Source organism: Homo sapiens, chromosome 5 (assembly GCF_000001405.40).
Source record: "Homo sapiens chromosome 5, GRCh38.p14 Primary Assembly".
NCBI classification, from domain to species: Eukaryota; Metazoa; Chordata; class Mammalia; order Primates; family Hominidae; genus Homo; species Homo sapiens.
The window spans coordinates 136542754-136570017 of NC_000005.10; the positions used below are offsets into that span (position 1 = coordinate 136542754).

At 42.8% G+C, this 27264-nt stretch overlaps 4 annotated features.

Moving 5' to 3' along the window:
• Nucleotides 1894-3093: an enhancer, noted in NCBI's record as "MED14-independent group 3 enhancer chr5:135880336-135881535 (GRCh37/hg19 assembly coordinates)". NCBI's record gives its function as "activates an origin of replication core promoter dependent on BRD2, BRD4, P300/CBP and CDK7 cofactors, and independent of MED14, by STARR-seq in HCT116 cells {active_cell/tissue: HCT116}" and the evidence as "EXISTENCE:reporter gene assay evidence [ECO:0000049][PMID:35650434]".
• Nucleotides 8925-9440: an enhancer, noted in NCBI's record as "OCT4-NANOG-H3K27ac hESC enhancer chr5:135887367-135887882 (GRCh37/hg19 assembly coordinates)". NCBI's record gives its function as "activates a minimal SCP1, AML or CMV promoter by ChIP-STARR-seq in primed H9 embryonic stem cells {active_cell/tissue: H9 hESC(primed)}" and the evidence as "EXISTENCE:reporter gene assay evidence [ECO:0000049][PMID:30033119]".
• Nucleotides 22186-22836: an enhancer, noted in NCBI's record as "OCT4-NANOG-H3K27ac-H3K4me1 hESC enhancer chr5:135900628-135901278 (GRCh37/hg19 assembly coordinates)". NCBI's record gives its function as "activates a minimal SCP1, AML or CMV promoter by ChIP-STARR-seq in naive and primed H9 embryonic stem cells {active_cell/tissue: H9 hESC(naive and primed)}" and the evidence as "EXISTENCE:reporter gene assay evidence [ECO:0000049][PMID:30033119]".
• Nucleotides 22837-23487: an enhancer, noted in NCBI's record as "OCT4-NANOG-H3K27ac-H3K4me1 hESC enhancer chr5:135901279-135901929 (GRCh37/hg19 assembly coordinates)". NCBI's record gives its function as "activates a minimal SCP1, AML or CMV promoter by ChIP-STARR-seq in naive and primed H9 embryonic stem cells {active_cell/tissue: H9 hESC(naive and primed)}" and the evidence as "EXISTENCE:reporter gene assay evidence [ECO:0000049][PMID:30033119]".

Genomic DNA, 27264 nt, shown 5'->3' on the forward strand with positions numbered 1-27264 from the left:
CGTGGGTAGCCTCCGTATTGATTAAGAAGGGGACGGGCTTACCTTCCACTGTGAGAGTTACCCATAGCTCGGCATCCGTGATGGTCAAGGGTGCTTCTGAGGTGATCGGGCAGTGTCAGTCTTCAGCTGCTAAGCCAAGAAGATCTGGGAAGGAGTCAGTCAGAGAGCCTTTGGCCAGTGTTCCAGGGGCTCTGGGAGTGGCTTCCAGGTGAGTTGAACAGTCCGATTTTCAGTGGGGTCCCACAGAGATGGGACGTGGATTAGGAGGAATCCCGGGCTGCGGGCATTCCTTGGCCCAGTGGCCAGATTTCTGGCACACGAAGCAAGCTCCTATGGGAGGAGGTTCTGGAGGAACGCGTGGCCACTGCAGTTCAGGCGTTTGGAAGTTCTTGTGTGCTGGAGATGTGGCTGGGGTTTGTCTCACAGTGGAGGCAAGGAATTGCAACTTTTTTCTATTATTGTACACCTTGAAGGCGAGGTTAATTAAATCCTGTTGTGGGGTTTGAGGGCCAGAATTTAATTTTTGGAGTTTTATTTAATGTCAGGAGCAGATTGGGTAATAAAATGTATTTTGAGAATAAGACGGCCTTTTGACCTTTTAGGGTCTAAGACTGTAAAGTGTCTCAGGGTTGCTGCCAAATGAGCCATGAACTGGGCTGGATTTTTATATTTGATGAAACAGAGCCTAAACACTTCTGATTTGGGATAAAGAAAAAGGAGCATTAACCTTGACTATGCCTTTAGCTCCAGCCACCTTTTTAAGAGTAAATTGCTGGGCAGGTGGAGGAGGGCTAGTCATGGAATGAAACTGTGAGCCAGACCAGGTGTGAGGAGGGGAGAGGTGGTAAAAAGATTATAGGGTGGAGGAGCAGAGGCTGAGGAAGAATTGGGACCTAGCTCGGCCTGGCGAGGAGCAGCCTGGGGAAGAAGGGAGAGGTCAGATGGGTCTGTAGAAAAGGAAGATTAGAAAGACTCAGCGACGCTTGGGGTTGGTACTGAGGGGACAGGTGGGAGGGAAAGAAGGAAGATTTGGGACGAGTTGCACTGGGCACAGAGACTAGGAAGGGACTGATGTGTAAAAGAATGCCTGGACGTCAGGCACCTCAGACCGTTTGCCTATTTTACGACAAGAATTATTTAGATTTTGCAGGATGGAAAAATTCAAAGTGCCATTTTCTGGCTATTTGGAACTACTGTTGAGTTTGTATTGGGGTCAAGCAGCATTGCAGAAGAAAATAAGGCGTTTAAGTTTTAGGTCAGGTGTGAGTTGAAGAGGTTTTAAGTTTTTGAGAACACAGGCCAAGGGAGTAGAAGGAGGAATGGAGGGTGGAAGGTTGCCCATAGTGAAGGAAGCAAACCTAGAGAAAAGAGAGAGTAGAGAAATGGAGGGAAGTGGTTCAGGTGTTCTCACCTTCCAGAAAAGGGGTTGGGGCACAGAGATAGATCAGGGTGCAGAAATAAGGGATTGGGGTGCAGAGATATAAGAGGTTGGGGCGTGGAAATAAGGGATTGGGGCACAGAGATAAGAGGTCAGGGTGCAGAAATAAGGGATTGGGGTGCAGAGATAAGAGGTTGGGGTGTGGAAATAAGTGATTGGGGGGTTCTTGCCCCCTAGGAAAGCGGGACTTGCCACTAAGGGTGAAGGAGAAGGGGTTGAGGGGTACTTGCCCCTGCCCCAGGAAAGCGGGACTTGCTGCTAAGGGTGAAGGAGAAGGGGTTGAGGGGTACTTGCCCCTGCCCCAGAAAAATGGGACTTGCTGCTAAGGGTGAAGGACCAAGGCAGGTGTCCCTGCATGGTCTGACACCTTTGAAACGTGGGTGAATAATCAGAGAGGTGTCCCTGCAATGATTAAACACCAAGGGAAGGCTGCCTTCCCAGTCCGTGACCGGTGCCAGAGTTTTGGGTCCACGGATAAAACGTGTCTCCTTTGTCTCTACCAAAAGAATTGAAAGGAATTGAAATTAAGAGAAGGGAGAGATAGAAATGTGGGGCCAAGATTGAAAGGAGAAAGAGGTTGAGGGATAGTGAGGGAGGTTGGAGAAGAGAGTAAAAAGAGGCTGCTTACCGGATTTGAAATTGGTGAGATGTTTCTCAGGCTGGTTGTTCTGAGGACCTGAGGTCATTGGTGGATCTTTCTCATGGAGCAAAGAACAAGAGGACAGGGTATTGATCTCCCAAGGGAGGTCCCCCGATCCGAGTCATGTCTCCAAATTTCATGCGCGTCCGTGTGAAGAGATCACCAAACAGGCTTTGTGTGAGCAACATGGCTGTTTATTTCACCTGGGTACAGGTGGGCTGAGTCCGAAAAGAGAGTCAGCAAAGGGAGTTAAGGGTGGGGCTGTTTTATAGGATTTGGGTAGGTAAAGGAAAATTACAGTCAAAGGGGGTTGTTCTCTGGTGGGCAGGGGCTGGGGCCACAAGGTGCTCACTTGGGGAGCTTCTGAGCCAGGAGAATGATTCACAGGGTTAATCAGTTAAGGTGGGGCAGGAACAAATCACAATGGTGGAATGTCATCAGTTAAGGCGGGGCAGGACCTTTTCACTTCTTTTGTGATTCTTCAGTTACGTCAGGCCATCTGGGCGTATACATGCAAGTCACAGGGGATGCGATGGCTTGGCTTGGGCTCAGAGACCTGACATTATATTTAAGTTTTAATCCATTTTGAGTTAATTTTTGCATATGGTGAGAGATAGGGGTCTAGTTCCATGTCTGCATGTACATACTCAGTTTCCTCCACACTATTTATTGAAGTGATTGCCCTTTCCCCAACGTGTATTTTTGGCATCTATGTTGAAAATCAGTTGGTTGTAAGTCTGTGGATTTATTTCTAACTGTATTCTAGTCCCTTGGTGTATATGCCTGTTTTTATGCCACTACCATGCTATTTTGGTTATTACAGCTTTGTAGTACATTTTGAAGCCAGGTATGTGATCCCTCTAGCTTGGTTCTGTTTGCTTAAGATTGATTTGGCTATTTGGGGTCTTTTGTGGTTCCATACACATTTTAGGATTTTTCTTTCTATTTCTATGAAGAATATCATGGATATTTTGATAGCTATTACATTGAATCTCTAGATTGTTTTGGGTAGTATGGACACTTTAACAATTCCAATTCTTTAAATCAATGAACATGGGGGTATTTTTCTGTATCCTTCTATTTATTTGTGTCCTCTTCCATTTTTCATCAATGTTTTATAGTTTTTGTTGTAGATATTTTTCACCTTCTTGGTTAGGTTTATTCTTAGGAATCTTATTTTTTGTGCTATTGTACTGTAAATGAGATTTTTTTCTTGATTTTTAAAGATAGCTTAATAATGCCATCTAAAAATACTACTGATTATCGTAAGTTGATTTTGTATCCTGCTACTTTACTAAATTTGTTTATTAATTATAACAGGTTTTGGTGGAGTCTTTAGGGTTTTCCGTCTCTAAGATCATGTTGTCTGCAAACAGGAACGTTTTGACGTTTTTCTCTTCAATTTGGATGCCTTTTATCTCTTTCTCTTGTCTTGTTGCTCTGGCTAGGACTTCTGGTACTATGTTGAATAGAAATGATGAATGTGGGCATCCTTATTTTCATGCGCATCTGTGTGAAGAGACCACCAAACAGGCTTTGTGTGAGCAATAAAGCTTTTAATCACCTGTGTGCAGGTGGGCTGAGTCCGAAAAGAGAGTCAGCAAAGGGAGATAGGGGTGAGGCCATTTTATAGGATTTGGGAAGGTAATGGAAAATTACAGTAAAAGGGGGTTGTTCTCTGGTGGGCAGGGGCGGGGGTCACAAGGTGCTCAGTGGGGGAGCTTCTGAGCCAGGAGAAGGAAATTCACAGGGTTAATCATTCAGTTAAGGTGGGGCAGGAACAAATCACAATGGTGGAATGACATCAGTTAACACAGGGTAGGGCCTTTTCACTTCTTTTGTGATTCTTCAGTTACTTCAGGCCATCTGGGCATATACGTGCAAGTCACAGGGGATGCGATGTCTTGGATTGGGCTCAAAGGCCTGACATTCCTGCCTTCTTATATTAATAAGAAAAATAAAACAAAATAGTGTTGAAGTGTTGGGGTGGTGAAAATTTTTGAGGGGTGGTAGGGAGAGAGAATGGGCGATGTTTCTCAGGGCTGCTTCAAGTGGGATTAGGGGCAGCGTGGGAACCTAGAGTGGGAGAGATTAAGCTGAAGGGAGGTCTTGTGGTAAGGGGTGATATTGTGGGGATGTTAGAAGAAACATTTGTCATATAGAATGATTGGTGATGGCCTGGATACGGTTTTGTATGAATTGAGAAACTAAATGGAATAACAGAAGGAGAAAAACAGGTATAAAAGGTCTAAGAATTGGGAGGACCTAGGATATCTGATTAGAGAGTGCCTAAGGAGATTCAGCAGAGTCCTGCCAGCAAAGATTATTTATTTACTTCAAGAGTTAAGAGTGGCAGTTTGGGGATAGCACCAGGAGATATCAGCTGTGATGGCTTGGAGAAACAGTGTAAACCGGCAGTGTAAAGAAGAGCAGGGCATGTATGAGTAGTTGAGAATGGTAATAGGAGTATGACTAGACAGAAAATAGTAGGGATGACAAGTTTTTTTTGGGAGGGGGGCACAGTCTAAGTTGGTCTGGTGTCTGGAATGAGACTGGGGCCTAATAAAAAGGAGCGTCTATACAGGAGCTTAAATGGGCTGTACCCTGTAGCATTCTGACAGGCCTGAATTCTGAGAAGGGAAAGTGGTAGAAGTATTGTCCAGTCCTTTTTAAGTTGGTGGCTGAGCTTGGTGAGGCGTGTTTTTAAAAGACCTTTAGTCCATTCTACTTTTCTTGAAGATGGAGGACCTTAAGGGATATAAAGGTTTCACTGAATACTAAGAGCCTGAAAAACTGCTTGGCTGATTTGACTAATAAAGGCTCGTCTGTTATCAGACTGTATTGAGGTGGGAAGGCTAAACTGAGGAATTATGTCTGACAGAAGGGAATAAATGACTGCCGTGGCCTTCTCAGACCCTGTACGAAAGGCCTTTACTTATTCAGTGGAAGTGTCTATTTAGACTAAGGGGTATTTTAGTTTCCTGACTTGGGCATGTTGAGTAAAGCTAATTTGCCAGTCCTGGGTGGGGGCAAATCCTCGAGCTTGATGTGTAGGGAAGGGAGGGGGCCTGAATAATCCCTGAGGAGTAGTAGAATAGCAGATGGAACACTGAGAAGTTATTTCCTTGAGGGTAGATTTCCACGATGGAAAAGAAATGAGAGGTTCTAAGAGGCAGGCTAGTGGCTTGTACTATAGCATAACCTGCCTTTGCTGGTGTGTGGCGATTAGGCCTGGTGGAACCGCCATCAATAAATCAAGCATGATCAGGGTGAGGAAGAGGAAAGAAGGAAATTTGGGGAAATGGGGTGAATGTCAGGTGGATCAGAGAGATACAGTCATGGGGGTCAGGTGTGGTATCAGGAATAATGTGGGAGGCCGGATTGAAGTCTGGGCCAGGAACAATGATAATTGTGGGAGACTCAGAAAAGAGTGAGTATAGCTGAAGGAGCCGGGAAGCAGAAAGTATATGCGTCAGGTATGAAGAAGAAAATAGATTTTGGAAGTTATGAGAACTGTACAGTGAGTTGAGCATAGTTGGGGATTTTGAGGGCCTCTAAAAGTATTAAAGCAGCAGCAGCCGCTGCAGGCAGACATGAGGGCTAGGCTAAAACAGTAAGGTCAAGTTGTTTGCACAGAAAGGCTACAGGGTGCGGTCCTGGCTCTTGTGTAAGAATTCTGACCACACTAACTATGCCTAGGAAGGAAAGGAGTTGTTGTTTTGTAAGGGATTGAGGTTTGGGAGATTAATCGGACATGATCAGCAGGGAAAGCACGTATGTTTTTATGAGAATTATGCCGAGATAGGTAACAGGTGAGGATAAAATTTGGGCTTGACTGAAGTAATGGGGGCTGTCTGTGAAGCCTTGCGGCAGTACAGCCTAGGTAATTTGCTGAGCCTAATGGGTCTCAGGGTCAGTCTAAGTGAAAGCAAAGAGAGGCTGGGATGAGGGGTGCAGGGGAATAGTGAAAAAATCATCTTTAAGATCAAGCATGGAATAGTGAGTTGTGGAGGAAGGTATTGAGGACAAAAGAGTGTACGGGTTGGGCACCACGGGGTGGAGAGGCAAAACAATTTGGTTGATAAGGTGCAGATCCTGAACTAACTTGTAAGGCTTGTCTGGTTTTAGGACAGGTAAAATGGGGGAATTGTAAGGAGAGTTTATAGGGTTTAAAAGGCCATGCTGTAGCAGGCAAGTGATAACAGACTTTAATCTTTTTAAAGCGTGCTGGGGGATGGGATATTGGCATTGAGTGAGGTAAGGGTGATTAGGTATTAATGAGATGGTAAGGGGTGCATGATCGGTCGCCAAGGAGGGAGTAGAGGTATCTTATACTTGTGGGTTAAGGTGGGGGGATAGAAGAGGAGGACGCAAAGGAGACTGGATTGGGAAGAAGGGCAGCAATGAGATACAGCTGTAGTCCAGGAATAGTCAGGGAAGCAGATAATTTAGTTAAAGTGTCTCAGACTAATAAGGGAACTGGGCAGATGGGGATAACTAAAAAGGAGTGCTTAAAAGATTATTGTCTAAGTTGGCACCAGAGTTGGGGAGTTTTAAGAGGTTTAGAAGCCTGGCCATCAATACCCACAACAGTTATGGAGGCAAGGGAAACAGGCCCTTGAAAAGAAGGTAATGTGGAGTGGGTAGCCTCCATATTAAGAAGGGGATGGGCTTACCTTCCACTGTGAGAGTTACCTGAAGCTCGGTGTCCTTGATGGTGTAGGGTGCTTCCGAGGCAATCGGGCAGTGTCAGTCTTCAGCTGCTAAGCCAAGAAGATCTGGGAAGGAATCAGAGAGCCTTGGGCTAGAGCTTTAGGGGCTCTAGGAATGGCTGCCAGGTGAGCTGGGCAGTCTGATTTCCAGTGGGTCCCTGCACAGATGGGACATGGCTTGGGAGGAATCCCAGGCTACGGGCATTCCTTGGCCCAGTGGCCAGATTTCTGGCACTTGAAGCAAGATCCTGTTGGAGGAAGTCTTGTAGGAATGCTTGACTGCTGCGGCTTAGGCATTTTGAAGTTCTCATATGCAGGAGGTGTGGCTGGGTTTTCTCTCACAGCAGAGGCAAGTAATTGTAACTCAGAAACGCGTTGCCGTCTGGCTGCTTCCTCTCTATTATTGTACACCTTGAAGGTGAGGTTGATTAATTCCTGTTGTGGGGTTTGAGGGCCAGATTCTAGTTTTTGAAGTTTTTTCCTAATGTCAGGAGTGGATTGGGTGATAAAATGCATGTTAAGAATAAGGCGGCCTTCTGGCCCCTCTGGGTCTAGGGCGGTAAAGCGTCTAAGGGTTGCCGCTAAGCGGGCCATGAACCGGGCTGGGTTTTCATCTTTACCTTGGGTAGTTTCTTTAAGTTTGTCACAATTAACAGCTTTGTAAGCTGCTTTTTTAAGCCCTACGACTAGGCAGGAAAACATGTAATATCGCCTAGCTATACCTGGGGAATTTGCCTGGTAGTTCCATTGGGGATCCTCTCGGGGAACTGCTCTAATGCCTTCCTGGAGGTCTGGCTCATGAAGCCAGCAGTTATCAGCATGAGATTGGGCCAGAGAAAAAATTCTTTCCCGTGCATCTGAGGAGAGGGTAGACGTCAGGATGACATTTAAGTCACTCCAGGTTAAGTTGTAGGACAGAGTTAGATATTGGAATTCCTGTATATATTTAGTGGGGTCTGATGAGAAAGAGCCTAAACATTGACTGATCTGAGAGAGGTCTGATAGAGAAAAAGGTACATGTGCCCTGACTGTGCCTTCAGCTCCAGCCACCTCTCTAAGAGGAAATTGTTGGGCAGGTGGGGAAGAGCTAGTCGCGGAACTAAACTGTAAGCCAGACCGGGTGTGAGGAGGGGAGGTGGTAGAAGGATTATAAGGTGAAGGAGCAGAGGCTGAGGAAGAATTGGGGGTGGAGAAAACAACATTTTTGTTGAGATTTAGTTTATTTGAATACTTGGGATAGCCAGGAGTTAAGGAGATACCTTTTAGTCATACACATCCACATGTCAAAGCCATCACATTGCAGCTATGGGTATACATTTGGGTGCCATGCACTTAATGATGAAAGTTTAGATGGGAAGATGTTGGGCATTATGAAAGAGAGAGAAAAGCAAGGGAAAGAGTAAAGGCCAAAGAGAGTATCAGGTGGTCAGAATGTCAAATTTTGCAGATAAGTGGGCAGCAAAGTATTTTTCGTGCTTGGGTGATCACTGGCAACATTAAGGAGAACTTTTAGTCTAATGCTGGGAGTAGGGTCTAGAAATAAAAGTCCCAAGTGAGGCAAAAATAATGAAAGAGAGAGAGAGACAGAGCTCTCCATCTGGTATGGTTTATTTTGTGACTTGAACTGTGATGTGCTGTTAGGGTGGCCAGATTGAGTTAAGCTGATCAACCATCCCAGTTTGCTCAGGACAGTCCCGTTTTAGCACGAAAAATCTGCATCCCAGGAATCTCCCTAGTTCTGGGCAAGCTGGGATGGTTTGTCACCCTACAATTCTTAGGGCAACATACGGCACTTAGTAGGTTTTCAGTAAGTATTTGTTCAGTGAATGAAAAAAAAAAAACAGAGACAGATCAACATCTCTGGGGCTAAGTTCCTTAAGTTTGTAAAATGAGGTTAGAAATATCTGTAGTAGCCAGCACATGAGGTTATTTTGACAACCAGATGTTTCGGCACCAAATTTCATGCGCGCCCCTGTGAAGAGACCACCAAACAGGCTTTGTGTGAGCAACAAAAAACGGCACCAAATTTCATGTGTGTCTGCGTGAAGAGACCACCAAACAGGTTTTGTGTGAGCAACATGGCTGTTTATTTCACCTGGGTGCTGGGGGGCTGAGTCCGAAAAGAGAGTCAGGGAAGGGAGATAAGGGTGGGGCTGTTTTACAGGATTTGGGTAGGTAAAGGAAAATTACAGTCAAAGGGGGTTTGTTCTCTGGTGGGCAGGAGTGGGGGTCGCAAGGTGTTCAGTGGGGGTGCTTTTTGAGCCAGGATGAGGCAGGAAAAGGATTTTCACAAGGTAATATCATCAGTTAAGGCAAGGACCAGCCATTTACACTTCTTTTGTGGTGGAATGTCATCAGTTAAGGTGGGGCAGGGCGTATTCACTTCTTTTGTGATTCTTCAGTTACTTCAGGCCATCTGGGTGTATACGTGCAAGTCACAGGGGATGTGATGGCTTGGCTTGGGCTCAGAGGCCTGACACTTATAGACCTTAGAAGAAAAACTTTCAACCTTTCATTATTCACTGAGATATTAGCTATGGATATGTCATATATGGCTTTTATCATTTTCAGGCACATATCTTCTGTGCCTAATTTGTTGAGACTTTTTATCATGAAGGGATGTTGAATTTTGTCAATTGTTTTGTCTGCATTTATTGAAATAATAGTATAATTTTTGCTCTTCATTTTGTTAATATGATGAATAATATTTATTGATTTGCAAATGTTGAACCATCCTTGCTTCCATAGGATGAACCATACTTAATCATGGTGAATTATTTTTTTAATGTGCTATAGAATTCAGTTTGCTATTTTGTTGAGGACTTTTGCCTCTGTATTTATCAGAGATATTGGCCTACAGATTTCTTTTTTGTGATTGTTGTGCCCTTGTATAGTTGGAATAAGGATAATGCCAGCCGTATAGAATGATTTTGGAAGAATTCTGTCCTCTTTAATTTTCTGGAGTAGATTGAGAATAACTGGTATTAGTTATTCAAGTGTTAGAATTCAGCAATGAAGCCATCAGGTCCTGGGCTTTTCTTTGATAGAAATTTTTTTTATTAATAATTCAATCTTGTAACTCATTATTAGTCTGTTCAGATTTTCTGTTTCTTCATGATTCAATCTTGGTAAGTTGTATTTGTTCAGGAATTTATCCATTTCTGATAGGTTCTCTAATTTTCTGGCATATGGTTGTTAATAATAGCCTCAGATGATCCTTTGTATTTCTGTGGAATTAGTTGTAACATCTCCTTTTAGTCTCTGATTTTATTTATCTGAGTCTTTTCCTTTTTTTCTCAATTAGTCTGTCTAAAAGTTTATGTGTTTTGTTTATTTTTTTAAAAAGCAACTCTTCATTAACTTTTGCACTTTTAATTCTTAGTTTCATTGATTTGTTTTATCTTTATGACTTATTTCCTTCTACTAAGTAAGGGTTTTGTTTGTCCTTGTTTTTCTTACTCCTTGAGGTGCAATATTAAATTTTATATTTGAGACTTTTCTTCTTCTTTGATGTAAATGCATTGCTATAAATTTTCCCTCTGAGTACTACTTTTGCTGTATCCCATAGGTTTTGGTATGTGTGCTTCCATTCTCTTTTGTTTCTAGAAGTTTTTAAAATTTACCTTTTAATATTTTTATAATTCATTCGTTGTTCAGGAGCATGTTTTTTAAAATTCCCATGTATCTGTATGGTTTGCAAAGTTCCTCTTGTTATTGATTTCTACTTCCATACCATTGTAGTAAGCACCAATTCTTAATACAATTTCAATTTTTTACAATTTGTTGAGACTTATTTTGTGGCCCACTAAATGGTTTATCTTGGATGATGTTACACGTGCCCTAGAGAATAATGTATATTCTACTAATGTTGGATGGAAAGTTCTGTATATATCCTTAGGTCCATTTTGTCTTAAGTATAGCTCAATTTCAGTAGTTTCTTAATTTTCTGTCTGCTTAATCTGTCCATTGTTGGAAGTAGGGTATTGAAGTCCACAACTATTATTGTTTTGCTATCTGTTTCTCCCTTCATGTTCATTAACGTTTGCTTCATTAGGTGCTCCAATATTGTGTGCATATATATTTACAATTGTTATGTCTTCTTGATAAGCTGGTGCTTCATCATTAAATGATGACGTTTGTCTCTTGTGGCAGTTTTTGACTTGAAGTCTATTTTACATGACATAAATATAGTCACCTCTGCTCTATTTTGGTTACCATTTTCATGAAATATCTTCTTCCTCCCATTTACTTTCAGCCTATGTGTGTCCTTAAGGTTTAAGTGTGAATCTCTCAAAGGCAGAATATATTTGGATCTTCTTTTTGTAAAATGCATTTAGCCCCTCTGTGTCCTTGGATTGGAGAATTTAATTTACATTCAAAGTAATTATTAATAGGTAAGGACTTACTACTGTCAGGTTGTTAATTTCCTACTGGTTGTTTTGTAAATGCTTTGTTCCTTTTTTCCTCTCTTGTTTATCTTTGTGATTTGCTGATTTTCTTCAGTGTTAATTTTGATTTTTTTATTATACATGTATTTGCTATAGTTTTATTGCCTCATGAACATCATGAGGTTATCATAGAACATCTTATAGTTAATAATAGACAATTTGACATTGATAAATTCAGTCACATACAAAAGCTCTATGCTTTTACCCTTCTCCCCACAATTTATAATTTCGATGTCACAATTTATATTTTATATTACATATTTCTTAACAATTTGTTGCAACTATTATTACTTTTGACTGTTTTGACTTTTAACCTTCACACTAGATATATGTGTGAATTATAATACGTCATAACAGTATTGGTCTATTTTGGACTTGACTATATATTTACCTTTATCAGTGAACTTTTTACTTTCATATGTTTTCATGTTAGTGATTAGTATCTTTTCATTTCTACTTTAAGAACTCCCTTACGCATTTCTTATAGGATAGGTTTAGTGATGATATAGTCTCTCAACTTTTGCTTATCTGGAAAATACTTTTTTTTTCCTTTATTTCTGAAGTACCTCCTTGCTGGGTATAGTATTCTTCACTAGCAATTTTTTTTCTTTTGGCATTTAAATGCACCATCCCATTCTTTCCTGGCCTGCAGGATTTCTGCTGAGAAATCAGCTGATAGTTTAATAGAGATTCCCTTATACATGATTTGATGCTTTTCTCTTGCTGCTTTTAAAATTGTCTGTTTGTCTTTGACTTTTGGCAATTTAATTAAATGTGCCTCAGTGAGGACTTCTTTGCGTTAAGTCTGTTTGGGAATCCTTGAGTTTTATGCATCTGGCTGTCCACATCTCTTCCAAAACTTAGAAACTTTTCAACAATTATTTCATTAAATAAGCTTTCTGTTCCTATGTTTGTCTTTCCTCCTTGTTGAATTCCTATGAATGTTTGTTTGCTCAGCTGTGTTCCATAAATCCTGTAGGATCTCTTCAATCTTTTTCATTCTTTTTTTTTCCTTCTAACTGGGTAACTTCAAAAGATTTATCTTCAAGTTCAGAGATTCTTCTGCTTGATCCAGTCTGCTGTTGAAGGTCTCTATCATATTTTTTTATTTCATTCAATGAATTGTTTAAATAAAAGATTTCTGTTTGATTCCTTTTTATGACATGTAACTTTTAAGTTTTTCATTCAGATCATGATTTTTTTTCTGATTTTGTTGAATTGTCTGTCTTCTCTTGTATCTTGCTGAGTTTCCTTAAAATCATTATTTTGAGTTTCTCTTCAGGCACTTCATAGATTTCTTTTTCTTTGAGGTCAATTCCTAGAGCATAATTATGTACTTTTGGTGTTCTTATATTCCCTTGATTTTTGATGTTTCTTGTGTTCCAGCATTGATGTCTCCCCATCCAATGGAACAATTATCTCTTTGGAACTTTACAGGGTGGATTTTTTCAAGAAAGACTTTCACATGGAGAAAGGTCTTAGTGTGCTGGTTGGGAAGGGTGTAGTGGTTCTATTTTTGAGTAGATGCAGTGGTATAGCCTCCATGCAGTTTCTTCAACTGAAACCAATATCAGTGAGGACTGTGAGTGTCTTAGTGGCCTAGGCTGTAGGAGTTTATGGCAGCAATGGCAGCAGCATAGATTGTTAGGGTCCACAGTGGCAAGGGCTTTTGGGACCCTCCTATTCTTGTTTTCCCTGCAATGGGAAGATTTAACTGAAGGGTCTTAGGCTCAGGGCTTCATGAACCTATTGTGGTACTTGGGACTTAAGGTTCAGGTTCACTCTTTGAGGCAGAGCTGAATGTAGATTGTCTATAGTGCTAGTTAGCTATGACTCTGAGGCCCCTTAAAGCAGCCTGGGCACTGGGGCTGGGTTATAGCTGTGAATCTGACCATATGGGGTGGGGCACAGCACTGGCCAAACTTTGGGGAAAAATGAGTGGTTTGGAGGTTTGGGCCCAGAAAGCTACAGCTACAATTCAGGAACCACAGCCAATAGGGCACTGTGGCAATTCAGATCCTGAGGGATGAGTTATTGTATACTGATCACTCTGGACCCTATACAATACCTCATCACCCAGGCATGATATGACTTGGAAGTACCCTAGACTTTCTGAGGTAGGTACGGTAGCAACAAGGATCCCAGAATGTCAGAACACAGCCGTCACTTGAGCTGTGGAGGGCAGTGAGCACAGTGATGACTTCACTCCCTATGGAGGAGGGTGTCTCAGCTCAGACTCTAGAAGACTAATTCAAGTTCAAGGAAGCAGGGCACTAGAGTTGTTTGGCCTGAGGACCAGTGTCTCAGCTCAGCCACTTCTCTGTTTCCCTGGATGAGGGGTACCACATCATCTCAGTCCTGGGATGCCTGACTGCTTGGCTCAGCAAGCCTCTTGGCCTCATCCCCAAGAGGCAATGGGCCACTTCAGCTCAGGCCTTGGGGACATGACTTCTCTGGGAAGCCAAGGTACCGTCTTCCCAGGAGGCAGGCACCACTTCAGCTCAGACACAGAAAGACAAGACATACAGTGACTAGGAGGAGTAGATGGAGCAGTTCTGCCAAGGAGCTGTTTCCTTGGGAGACAGTGAACAGCTTCAGCTCTAGTCCCAAGAAATAAGGTGCAGAAGTTACTGGGTGGCAGGGGTCAGGTAGATGGAGCAACTTAGCCAAGGCATGTTTCTCCAGGAGAGAGTGCACGGCTTCAGCTCAGGCCCTGAGGGGCAAGGCACAGCAGTGACTAGGAAGGGTAGATGAGGCAGCTTCAAGGCCACGTGCCACCATGGGCTAGGATGTAGCGGCAGCTTGGCTGAGAGATGGTGAGCCACCAGACAGGGGAGGTTCAGTGGTGACTAAAACGCAGGAATGGAATGGTGTTGTGGCCATTCACTCCTGGAGGAGAACACACTCCAGCAGTAGTTCCAGTTCCAAGATGGTATAGTGCAGTAGCCACATGGGCCACACAGGGTTGGGGCACAGTGTCAGCTCCTTCCCTTGGAGAAACACAGCTGTGTGGCTCTAGGCAGATCCCTCAGCTGGCCTTAGTGACTGTGAGAACTGCAGGGGTCCCTAGTGGTAAGGACTGTAGGTGTCCCAGGTATTAATGGGGGCTGCTGGGATCTGTTTATCTTTTACCCACAGGGAGAAGTCCCTCCTGGTTCTAAGCTGATCCTCACTGGGGGATAGGGTGGCAGAGGCCAGGTGTTCCCTTTGGTTCTCAATGTGGCCATCCTGGGTTTCTGTGCTCTACAAAGACTTTTAGACTCTTTTGATGTACTCTAGTGCTCTCCTTTAGTTATTTTCATCAAAGTGTGGTTTATTCATTGTTTTGGCCATCTTGGTTGTGGGGGAAGAACACTAGAAGCTTCTAGCCAGCCATTTTGCTGACATCACCTCGAGTTTACTGACCTTTTTATAAATGAGAGGACTGAAGTTTGAGTTCTAGGTCAAGGACACATAGTAATAAGCGTATTAAAGGAGAGTTTTAAGCCAAAGCCTGTAGTACTATTCCCACCATAACATGCTAAGTATTAAAGTAAAGCCTCGCTTGCAATTGGACAGATTATTGGGTACAAACAGGACACTAAAGGAATCCTTGTCCCAATGTGCTCAAATAAGTGACCTCTGAGAGCAGCTGTCCAGGCAGGCACAGCTCTCCATGAGGGATGCCTGTGGCAAGCTCTCTAACAGTGGCTGCTGCCTGTCGTGGACAGCTAGCTTCCAGATCTCAATGCTGACACCCATGTAAGGCTTCTCAAAATTGACTTTCCCCTGTATAATGGCTTTTGTACCCTTTAGCAACCCAGGCTTATTTTTTGATTGAACTAGACCCTAGTAATTTCCAGACTTAATGGATTTCAGAAGTTTTGAAATGCTGAACTGTTAGAGAAATACACAACCTACATGTGGCCACAGAGAATCTTCCTCATAAGCCAACTGCACTCTAAATATTGAAATGTCATTTTCACAGCTATGCAGTTTTTCCAGATGGATTATTTTTCAAAATGGTTGACATTAGCAAAAAAACTCTTGCTATTAAAAAACTGCATAATGTTCTGTTAATGAAAATGTGAATAAAAATGTCTCTAATGTCACTTGTCCCTAATTAAATTTTTCACAAGAATGTTTTCAGCAACATACTGTGATTCTGTTAAATAGGAAAAGGAGTTACATTATATGGCTTAACAATGTTCCTGGAGTTACTTCCATAAGGAAAAGTGATTAGAGCCATTCCAGCTAATGACCACAATGTACAATAGTCATCTGAAGTAAGCATCCTCAGATTGCAATCAACAGTTCCACATAATAGCAAATTTGAAATTTTATCTGGTTTCTGGGTTTATCTTAGTTGGTGCCTCATTTTATGTTTCCCTGTGATTTAATACCAAGTGTCTGTGTTGCAAAGTTTTGTTTTGTTTTAAACTTTCAAAATTGAGGCACAACATGCACAGATAGGTGTATAAATCTTCAGTGAACAACTTAATAAATGTTTGCATATGTATATGTCTGTGTAGTTACCACCCAGGTCAAGTTATAGAATATTTTCAGCACCCAAGAAAGGTCATTTGTGCCCCTTTTCAGTCAACAACATCTTCAGAGGTCACCATATTTTTCCTTCTATCATTATGTATTTGTTTTGCTTGCTCTTGAGCTGCATAGCAGTACGCTTTTTGCTTCTGGTTTCTTTTGCATAATACTATTCCTGTGAGATTCATTCATGGTGCATGTGGCAGTAGTTCATTCTTCTTTGTTCTGTGTAGTATTCCATCATACCACGTTTACTTTTAAGAATCATAGCTGGCCAGGCACAGTGACTCATGCCTGTATTCCCAGCACTTTGGGAGGCCGAGGCAGGTGGATCACCTGAGGTTGAGAGTTCAAAACCAGCCTGGCCATCATGGTGAAACCCTGTCTCTACCAAAAATACCAAAATTAGAAGGGCCTGGTGGCAAGTGCCTGTAATCCCAGCTACTCAGGGAGGCTAAGGCACAAGAATCACTTGACTCCCAGAGGCAGAGCTTGCAGTGAGCCAAGATCCCACTACTGCACTCCAGCCTGGGCCACAGAGCAAGACTCCGTCTCAAAAAACAAAAACAAAAAAACATAGCCAAGCTAATCACAGACTCACTCAATGCGGGGTGAACCTCTCCATCACTGCCTGCAAAGGATAAATTAAATTTTTAAAAATGCTATCATCTTATTTCCTCCTACAGAGAGGAAAGAACCGCCATCATCTACCCAGAAAAATTTCATCTCACATAGGCAGACGAGTCAGCCCTTTATTGGGTCAGGGCAATTTTACTTGTTAAACAACTGCCTCTATGATGCTTTGCAATATCCAGGGATCCCTGATAAGAAGGTGGTATTGTTAATTGACAAGCATGGAAGAAAATATTGCCTGTTTGATTCATAATCAGTAAATCATATTTAGCGATATAAATATCACCAGCAGTTTGAAGAGGAGACAGTTGCTAGGAGCAGTTCACTTAAGTCAAGCATTGATAGTACTCAGGCCTGAGTCACACTGATGCTCGGTGCAGAGACCCAGGTAGAATGTATGAGGACCATAAAGAAAGAGGCTCCACAGACAGTACTCACCACAAACATAAAGGAGCAGAACAAAATAAGATGGATAATGAGCTTTAACAAATGAAACTTTTGCTAAGGTAGATTTTACATAGAAATACAATAGTGTTATGTATCTGGACACATATAGAAACACAGGGGTAGAGATCAACAGAGAAATCAGAGCCTAGAATATCTCTTAACACTTAAGGCTTGTTTTTACAATCTTGTAGGAGATTGAAACATTCTGGTTTCAGCCTGCCATAAAGTAAGTGCATGGAAGTCCAGACCTTATCAGTGCATTGTCATAGTGAAAGCCAGTCATCCAAGTATTTATGAAAACTAGAAGCAGAGGAACATTTGATGAAAGAGAAAAAAAAGAGGATGTTATAAGATTCATACGTAATGAAAGGATGAACTTGAGAGAGCAGAGTTTTTAAACTACTTTAGCTCTACCATTTCAATTTTATTAATAAAATAAATACTTAATCGTGTCTATGACTTACTAATTTGTTCATTCAGCTAGTTTTATTGAGCATCTTCCATACACCAAAACAGAGAAAGAGCCTTGTAAGTAGCAATGCCCTTTGTCGAAGGCAGCTACCCTGAATCTGCATCTTTATTTTCCAAGGACATTTTTTTTCCCATAGCTGTTTTTGCTGCCTGCACTTTCAAGTCTGTAACTATATTTACAGTTTTCTTTTTGCCTTTGACATTTGCACTTCTCAACTCAATGCTTCAGTAACTCTCCATGCCCTTTACATATCCTGCAGCTAATAACTATGCTGCTTACTTAAGAAGTTACAAGGAGCCTCAAGTTGGAATGCTTTGAGAAATATGAGCCAACAGCTCCTATTCCCTGACTGCATTTTCTGAGCATGGTTTGCAAAGTAGAAGCTTTGGGGAATGCTTAGGTGTGGGAAGAAGGAAAAGGAGGCATCTGCCTAAAATTTGAAGTCCTTGTAATGAAGCCCCTGGACTTTTAAAGTCCCCTATAATAAGAGAGGAACAATTTCCTTCATTAATTAGTCGTAGATGGTTTGAGAAACTTTGCCTACTATGCAAATTGCACAGTGCTCAGGACAGGAAATTCAAGAAGAGATGTCATTCTGGAGCTCAGCTGGGTTCATTCTGGCTTGAGAAAGAAGGTTCTAGGAGGAGGAATGGAGAAGACATAATGGACCAAGAGAATTGATCTTGAAAACAGACAGAAAGCATCAGACTGCAGTTGAAGTTACAATGTTACAACATGTGTCCCATTTGTTGAGCACTTACGTGTCAAACTCTGTGTCAGTCCAAGAGCATGTAGTATAAACTTCCCAACAACCCTATGGGGGCAGTTACCATTATTTTTGTCATATCAAAAATGAAGAGACTGAAGGTCAGATGTTTTCTGTAGATCACAGAACTGGTAAGTAGCAGAGCTGCAACTCAAACTCAGGCCCGAGCGACCCCAGAACCCACGGTTTTAGCCATGTGCCATGTTATCTCCATATTATCTCTTTGTTGAGATAAGGGAAGATACACAGGACAGGGTGATTTTCACTGGAAAGTGAAGGTGGTCAGGGGCAGGGGTACCTGCATGTCTGGAGATGGAGAATGGAAGGATGAGTCTTTGGCTTTTATAAAAGCCAGTGTTCTCTGAAAACCTCATAATACCCAGTATGTCAGGCAGCTCTACTTGTGGATATCACTGCCAATCAAAACTTGGATATGTCCTTCTAAGGAACCCTGGTTTTCTCATCTCTGTTCCTCAACCACTCTGAAGCTAAGCAAGAACCTCTTTAACTGGAGCAGCTTGTTAACCTTCCAGAGAGCTCTCTTGCTTCTGACACCTTGACTGCCTCTCATCATGCTGCTGATGTTATTATTCTCCTTTCACAGTGGAGACTGAGCCACAGGAGCCTACACAGAATCTGAACTAGATGGGTTCCTGCCCCTGTCTTCTTCCTCAGGCTGGCACAGTTATTTGTGGTTCCATCTATGTAAGCATAGAACAAAGAACCAGTGTAAATTTTGGTCAGAATTTAAATTAGATTCCAGAAGGTTCACAAACTTGCCTTCCTCTTTCTCTTCCTCTCTTTCCCCTCCTTCTCCTCCTTCCTCTTTTTTATTGCTTTTATTTTTCCTTTTAAGAAAACTGATCTGAAAGATTCAATGCACTTGGTCATTAGAGTCCTTCTAGAGCCAGATCCATGAACTGTTTCTGAGAGACGCAGAGAGCAGTGGCTCATCCAGCCAAGTTGAAGACCCTGGCATGGGCAGAGCAGCAAAGACCCCCAGAGTGTCTGGAATCACTAAGAATTGCTGCATGCCCACAGCTGGCTGTATCCACTAGAGTTGGGCTATGGTCTTATCCTAAAAGGCACTGACCCTTTACCATGTGCCAACTCTGCCAGGAGCTAGGCTGTGTGCTGGGGATTTGGAGTTAAATAAAACATAATTCAGGTGAAGTGTGTGGGGGGATAAGCATCGTAACAACGTGCCCTTGATGTGCTAAGATGAAGTGCAAAATCAACTGTGTCAATAATATACTACAGTACTGCTGAAGAAAAAAGAATCGATCATGCATTGGGTAAGGAGAAGAATTGGAGGAAGCTGTGTTGGGCTTGGAGTGGTGTGAGTAGAATTCTACAGCAGGAGCATTATAGATAAAGGTGAGAAAACAGGAATGGTCTGAAAATAATAATATCAAAGACGGTTCTGTGATTTTAATACTTAAAGCATGATCCATTTATTTCTTTATTCAGGAAATTATTTGCTGAATAACTTGTGCCAAGAGCTAGCTAGTTACTGAGTACACAGCACTGAGCAAGACTGGCCAGCTCCATGTCCATGGGGGGGGGGAAGTCTCATGGAGGGAGATAGAAGAGAATATGCCATTTACACAGTCATTTCTTTGTTAACGGTCATGATAAATAAAAGTGAAATGGTGCCACAAATGTGCCTAGAAAAGGGCCTGATCTTGTCTTTGGAATATGGAAATGCAGTTAGGATGTGTTTCCTCAAGGAAGTGACACTTGTGTTGAGATCCAGAAGATGATTAGAAATTAGTTAAATGAAAGAAGCACATCCTGACACAGAGAGGTTTTATGCTCTGAATTTTGTCCCCCCAAAATTTATATGTTGAAGCCCTAAGCCTAGTACCTCAGAATGTAACTGCTTTTGGAGATAGGGTCTTAAATGTGGTGGTTGGGTTAAAATGAGGCCATTAGGGTGGGCCTAATCCCATCTAATTGGTGTCTCTACAAGAGGAAATGTGGATGTACAAAGAGTGACCAGCGATGCAGGTGCACAGAGGAAAGTCCATGTGAAGAAACAGCAAGAAGAGAGCCATCTGCAAGCCAAGGAGACGGGCCCAAGAATAATGCAAATAATAATTGCCAGCCTCTAGAACTGTGAAAATTAAATTCCTGTTGCTTAAGCCACCCAGTTGAGGTATTTTATTCTGGCTGCCCTGTTTGTTATGGGTTCTGCTTGAAGATAGGGAAGATGGTAAGTGTGGCTTATGACATTCCTTCAGTCTGTGGCCTGGGTAAGTCTGTCTCCTATTCTTGGGACTGGGAGTTGCCTCCTGTAATACAAATGCCTTGGACTGATCATTCATCTCTGAGGTTCCTTCTGGGTTTTTGATGCTGTAAATTCAAAGACTTAAACCCTTATAATTCCAGGACCCTAGGAAAGAAATTGGCAAGATGATTATTTGAGAATCCCTTAATAAAACTCAGAACACTGGAAAAATTCTTGATTCATCAAGTCTAACAGTGGATGATCAATAAATGTTTGTTGAAAGAATGGACACTTGGATGAATAAACCAACATTTATCAATAGGTTGAAGGATAGCTAGCTAGGTAGAGAGAATTCTGATGCTAATATGCAAAACAGTAAACTATTTTCTTTCAACTTCTTGAGGTATTGCTCCTCACAAGAGGGCATTAGCTGCGAGGGTCTGCCTGCAGACCCTGACCCAAACAACGGATGGATAAAACGTACACTGACACACAGATATTCTGTTTTGCCAGTCCTGCTGAATGTCTGACCACCTACACCAAGAGAGGTTTGTCACTGCGGCCAGCCCCGATCAGCTCAGGAGGCTTGCATTTATTCATTAAGATTAGCTAACAAAAGCTTGAGTTAACACCATTAGAGGTTAATTGACATTGAGGACTTCCTGAGTAAAAAGCATACATCAAAGGCTTAAGGCTTAAGACCACATGAGTAAACAAGCTAACTAGATAACTTCCCCACATCCTGTTGTTTACTACTCTAATTTATGTAACTAAAGGTAATGTGACCAGGCTGCCTTCTGCCTGGTCTATTACCGAAGTCATATGAAAACCCCAAAAGGGTTTTGTGGCTATCATAACGAATATTTTTCCCACCAGCCTGATCAAATCCCAACAAGTTTTATTTTAGAATCATGGGGTGCATGGGCAGGTTTGTTACAAAGGTATATTGCATTATGGTGAAGTTCGGGGTATGATTGAACCTGTCACTCAGGTAGTGGGAATAGAACACAATAAGTAGTTTTTCAGCCCTTGCCCTGTTCTCTGTCTCTCCCCTCTAGTAGACTGCAGTGTCTATTGTTCCTATCTTTATGTCCATGTGTATCCAATGTTCAGCTCCCACTTACAAATGATAATATCTGGTATTTTGTTTTCTGTTTCTGCATTGCATTAGTTTATTTAGAATAACGGCCTTCAACTGCATCCATGTTGCTGTAAATACATGGTTTCATTTTTTATGGCTGTATAGCATTTCATGGTATATATCTATCACATTGTCTTTATCCAGTCCACCACTGATGGGCACCTGAGTTGATCCCATTGAGAGGCAAAGCCAGCTGGACTTCCTGGATCCACTGGGGACTTGGAGAACTTTTCTGTCTTACAAGGAGATTGTAAAATGCACCAATCAGTGCTCTGTAGCTAGTAAGAGGTTTGTAAAATGCACCAATCAGCACTCTGTAAAAATACACCAATCAGTGCTCTGTAGCTGGCAAGAAGTTTGTAAAATGGACCAATCAGTGCTCTGTAAAATGGACCAATCAGCAGGAGTCTAAGAGTAGCCAATCGCACGGAGGATTGAAAAAAGGGCGTAGGACAGAAACAGGACATGAGAGGGGACAAATAAGGAAATAAAAGCAGGCCACCCCAGCCAGAAGCAGCAACCTGCTCAGGTCCCCTTCCATGCTGTGGAAGCTTTGTTCTTTCGCTCTTCACAATAAATCTTGCTGCTGCTCACTCTTTGGGTCCGTGCCAACTTTAAGAGCTGTAACACTCACTGCAAAGGTCCACAGCTCCGTTCTTGAAGTCAGTGAGACCACGAACCCACCAGAAGGAACCAACTCTGGACACACCAACTTTTTAGTATTGTGAATAGTGCTATAATTAACATATGGGTGTGTGTGCCCTTTTGGGTATATACCCATTAATAGGATTTTCCTTTGGGTATATGCCCTTTAATAGCATTGCTGGGTCAAATGGTAGTTCTGTCTTAAGTTCTTTGAGCAATCTCCAAACTGCTCTCCAGAGTGGCTGAGCTAATTTACATTCCCACCATTGTCCCCTCTTCTCCACAGCCTCACTAACATCTATTATTTTTTGGACTTTTTTAGCAAAAGCCATTCTGACTGGTGTGAGATGGTATCTCATTGTGGTTTTGATTTGCATTTCTCTGATGAGTAGTGGTGATGAGCATTTTTTCATGTTTGTTGGCCACATGTATGTCTTCTTTTGAGAAGTGTCTTTTCATGCCCTTTGTCTACTTTTTAATGTGGTTATTTTCATGCACATCTGTGTGGAGAGACCACCAAACAGGCTTTGTGTGAGCAACATGGCTGTTTATTTCACCTGGGTGCAGGCGGGCTGAGTCTGAAAAGAGAGCCAGTGAAGGGAGATAAGGGTGGGGCCGTTTTATAGGATTTGGGTAGGTAAAGGAAAATTACAGTCAAAGGGGGTTTGTTCTCTGGCGGGCAGGAGTGGGGGTCACAAGGTGCTCAGTGGGGGTGCTTTTTCAGCCAGGATGAGCCAGGAAAAGGACTTTCACAAGGTAATGTCATCACTTAAGGCAAGGACCAGCCATTAACACTTCTTTTGTGGTGCAATGTCATCAGTTAAGGTGGGGCAGGACCTTTTCACTTCTTTTGTGATTCTTCAGTTACTTCAGGCCATCTGGGTGTATACATGCAAGTCACAGGGGATGCGATGGCTTGGCTTGGGCTCAGAGGCTTGACATTCCTGCCTTATATTAATAAGAAAAATTAAACAAAATAGTGTTGAGGCAGCAAAAATTTTTGGGGGGTGATATGGAGAGAGAATGGGCGATGTTTCTCAGGGCTGCTTCAAGCGGGATTAGGGGCAGCATGGGAACCTAGAGTGGGAGAGATTAAGCTGAAGGGAGGTCTTGTGGTAAGGGGTGATATTGTGGGGATGTTAGAAGAAACATTTGTCGTATAGAATGATTGGTGATGGCCTGGATACGGTTTTGGATGAATTGAGAAACTAAATGGAATAACAGAAGGAGAAAAACAGGTATAAAAGGTCGAAGAATTGTGACGACTCAGGATATCTGATTAGAGAGTGCCTAAGGAGATTCAGCATAGTCCTGCCAGCAAAGATTATTTATTTACTTCAAGAGTTAAGAGTGGCAGTTTGGGGATAGCACCAGGAGATATCAGCTGTGATGGCTTGGAGAAACAGTGTAAACTGGCAGTGTAAAGAAGAGCAGGGCATGTATGAGTAGTTGAGAATGGTGAATAGGAGTATGACTAGACAGAAGATAGTAGGGATGACAAGTTTTTTGGGGGGCACAGTCTAAGTTGGTCTGGTGTCTGGAATGAGACTGGGGCCTAATAAAAAGAGCGCCTATACAGGAGCTTAAATGGGCTATATCCTGTAGCATTCCGAGGATGGGCCTGAATTCTGAGAAGGGATAGTGGTAAAAGTATTGTCCAGTCCTTTTTAAGTTGGTGGCTGAGCTTGGTGAGGTGTGTTTTTAAAAGACCTTTAGTCCATTCTACTTTCCTTGAAGACGGAGGACCTTAAGGGATATAAAGGTTTCACTGAATACTAAGAGCCTGAAAAACTGCTTGGCTGATTTGACAAATAAAGGCTCATCTGTTATCAGACTGTATTGAGGTGGGAAGGCTAAACTGAGGAATTATGTCTGACAGAAGGGAATAAATGACTGCCGTGGCCTTCTCAGACCCTGTAGGAAAGGCCTCTACCTATCCAGTGAAAGTATCTATCTAGACTAAGAGGTATTTTAGTTATCTGACTCAGGGCATGTTGAGTAAAGCTAATTTGCCAGTCCTGGGTGGGGGCAAATCCTCGAGCTTGATGTGTAGGGAAGGGAGGGGGCCTGAATAATCCCTGAGGAGTAGTAGAATAGCAGATGGAACACTGAGAAGTTATTTCCTTGAGGATAGATTTCCACAATGGAAAGGAAATGAGAGGTTCTAAGAGGCGGGCTAGTGGCTTGTACTATAGCATAGCCTGCCTTTGCTGGTGTGTGGCGATTAGGCCTGGTGGAACTGCCATCAATAAATCAAGCATGATCAGGGTGAGGAAGAGGAAAGAAGGAAATTTGGGGAAATGGGGTGAATGTCAGGTGGATCAGAGAGATACAGTCATGGGGGTCCGGTGTGGTATCAGGAATAATGTGGGAGGCCGGATTGAAGTCCGGGCCAGGAACAATGGTAATTGTGGGAGACTCAACAAAGAGTGAGTATAGCTGAAGGAGCCGGGAAACAGAAAGTATATGCATCAGGTATGAGGAAGAAAATAGATTTTGGAAGTTATGAGAACTGTAGAGAGTGAGTTGAGCATAGTTTGTGATTTTGAGGTCCTCTAAAAGTATTAATGCAGTGGCAGCCACTGCACGCAGACATGAGGGCTAGGCTAAAACAGTAAGGTCAAGTTGTTTGGACAGAAAGGCCACAGGGTGTGGTCCTGGCTCTTGTGTAAGAATTCTGACCACGCTAACCATGCCTAGGAAGGAAAGGAGTTGTTGTTTTGTAGAAGGTGCTGGGGTTTGAGAGATCAGTCAGACACAATTGGCAGGGAGAGCACGTGTGTTTTTATGATAATTATGCCGAGATAGGTAACAGATGAGGAATAAATTTGGGCTTGATTGAAGTAATGGGGGCTGTCTGTGAAGCTTTGCAGCAGTACAGCCTAGGTAATTTGCTGAGCTTGATGGGTGTCAGGGTCAGTCCAAGTAAAAGTGAAGAGATGCTGGGATTAAGGGTGCAAACGAATAGTAAAGAAAGCATGTTTGAGATCTAGAACAGAATAATGGGTTATAGAGGCAGGTATTGAGGATAGGAGAGTATATGGGTTTGGCACCACGGAGTGGATAGGCAAAACAATTTGGTTGATAAGGCGCAGATCCTGAACTAACTTGTAAGGCTTGTCTGGTTTTAGGACACGTAAAATGGGGGAATTGTAAGGAGAGTTTATAGGGTTTAAAAGGCCATGCTGTAGCAGGCAAGTGATAACAGACTTTAATCTTTTTAAAGCGTGCTGCGGGATGGGATATTGGCATTGAGTGGGGTAAGGGTGATTAGGTTTTAATGAGATGGTAAGAGGTGCATGATCGGTCGCCAAGGAGGGAGTAGAGGTATCTTATACTTGTGGGTTAAGGTTGGGGGATACAAGAGGAGGACGCAAAGGAGGCTTTGGATTGGGAAGAAGGGCAGCAATGAGATACAGCTGTAGTCCAGGAATAGTCAGGGAAGCAGATAATTTAGTTAAAGTGTCTCAGCCTAATAAGGGAACTGGGCAGGTGGGGATAACTAAAAAGGAGTGCTTTAAAGAGTATTGTCTAAGTTGGCACCAGAGTTGGGGAGTTTTAAGAGGTTTAGAAGCCTGGCCATCAATACCCACAACAGTTATGGAGGCAAGGGAAACAGGCCCTTGAAAAGAATGTAATGTGGACTGGGTAGCCTCCGTATTAAGAAGGGGACGGTCTTACCTTCCACTGTGAGAGTTACCTGAAGCTCAGTGTCCGTGATGGTCTAGGGGGCTTCCAAGGTGATCGGGCAGTGTCAGTCTTCAGCTGCTAAGCCGAGAAGATCTGGGAAGGAGTCAGTCAGAGAACCTTGGGCCAGAGTTCCAGGGGCTCTAGGAGTGGCTGCCAGGTGAGTTGAACAGTCCGATTTTCAGTGGGGTCCTACACAGATGGGACGTGGCTTAGGAGGAATCCCGGGCTGTGGGCATTCCTTGGCCCAGTGGCCAGATTTCTGGCACATGTAAAAAGCTCCTGGGGGAGGAGGTTCTGGAGGAATGCCTGGCTGCTGCGGTTCAGGAGTTTGGAAGTTCTTGTGTGCTGGAGATGTGGCTGGGGTTTGTCTCACAGTGGAGGCAAGGAATTGCAACTTTTTTCTGTTATTGTACACCTTGAAGGTGAGGTTAATTAAGTCCTGTTGTGGGGTTTTAGGGCCAGATTCCAATTTTTGGAGTTTTATTTAATGTCAGGAGCAGATTGGGTAATAAAATGTATATTGAGAATAAGACGGCCTTTTGACTTTTTAGGGTCTAGGGCTGTAAAGTGTCTTAGGGTTGCTGCCAAAAAAGTCAGGAACTGGGCTGGATTTTTATATTTGATGAAAAAGAGCCTAAACACTATCTGATTTGGGATAAAGAAAAAGGAGCATTAACCTTGACTATGCCTTTTTAAGAGTAAATTGCTGGGCAGGTGGAGGAGGGCTAGTCATGGAATGAAACTGTGAGCCAGACCAGGTGTGAGGAGGGGAGAGGTGGTAAAAAGATTATAGGGTGGAGGAGCAGAGGCTGAGGAAGAATTGGGACCTAGCTCGGCCTGGTGAGGAGCAGCCTGGGGAAGAAGGGAGAGGTCAGATGGGTCTGTAGAAAAGGAAGATTAGAAAGACTCAGCGACGCTTGGGGTTGGTACTGAGGGGACAGGTGGGAGGGAAAGAAGGAAGATTTGGGACGAGTTGCACTGGGCACAGAGACTAGGAAGGGACTGATGTGTAAAAGAATGCCTGGACGTCAGGCACCTCAGACCATTTGCCTATTTTATGACAAGAATTATTTAGATTTTGCAGGATGGAAAAATTCAAAGTGCCATTTTCTGGCTATTTGGAACTACTGTTGAGTTTGTATTGGGGTCAAGCAGCATTGCAGAAGAAAATAAGGCATTTAGGTTTTAGGTCAGGTGTGAGTTGAAGAGGTTTTAAGTTTTTGAGAACACAGGCCAAGGGAGTAGAAGGAGGAATGGAGGGTGGAAGGTTGCCCATAGTGAAGGAAGCAAACCTAGAGAAAAGAGAGAGTAGAGAAACGGAGGGAAGGGGTTCAGGGGTTCTCACCCTCCAGAAAAGGGGTTGGGGCACAGAGATAGATCAGGGTGTGGAAATAAGGGATTGGGGTGCAGAGATATAAGAGGTTGGGGCATGGAAATAAGGGATTGGGGCACAGAGATAAGAGGTTGGGGTGTGGAAA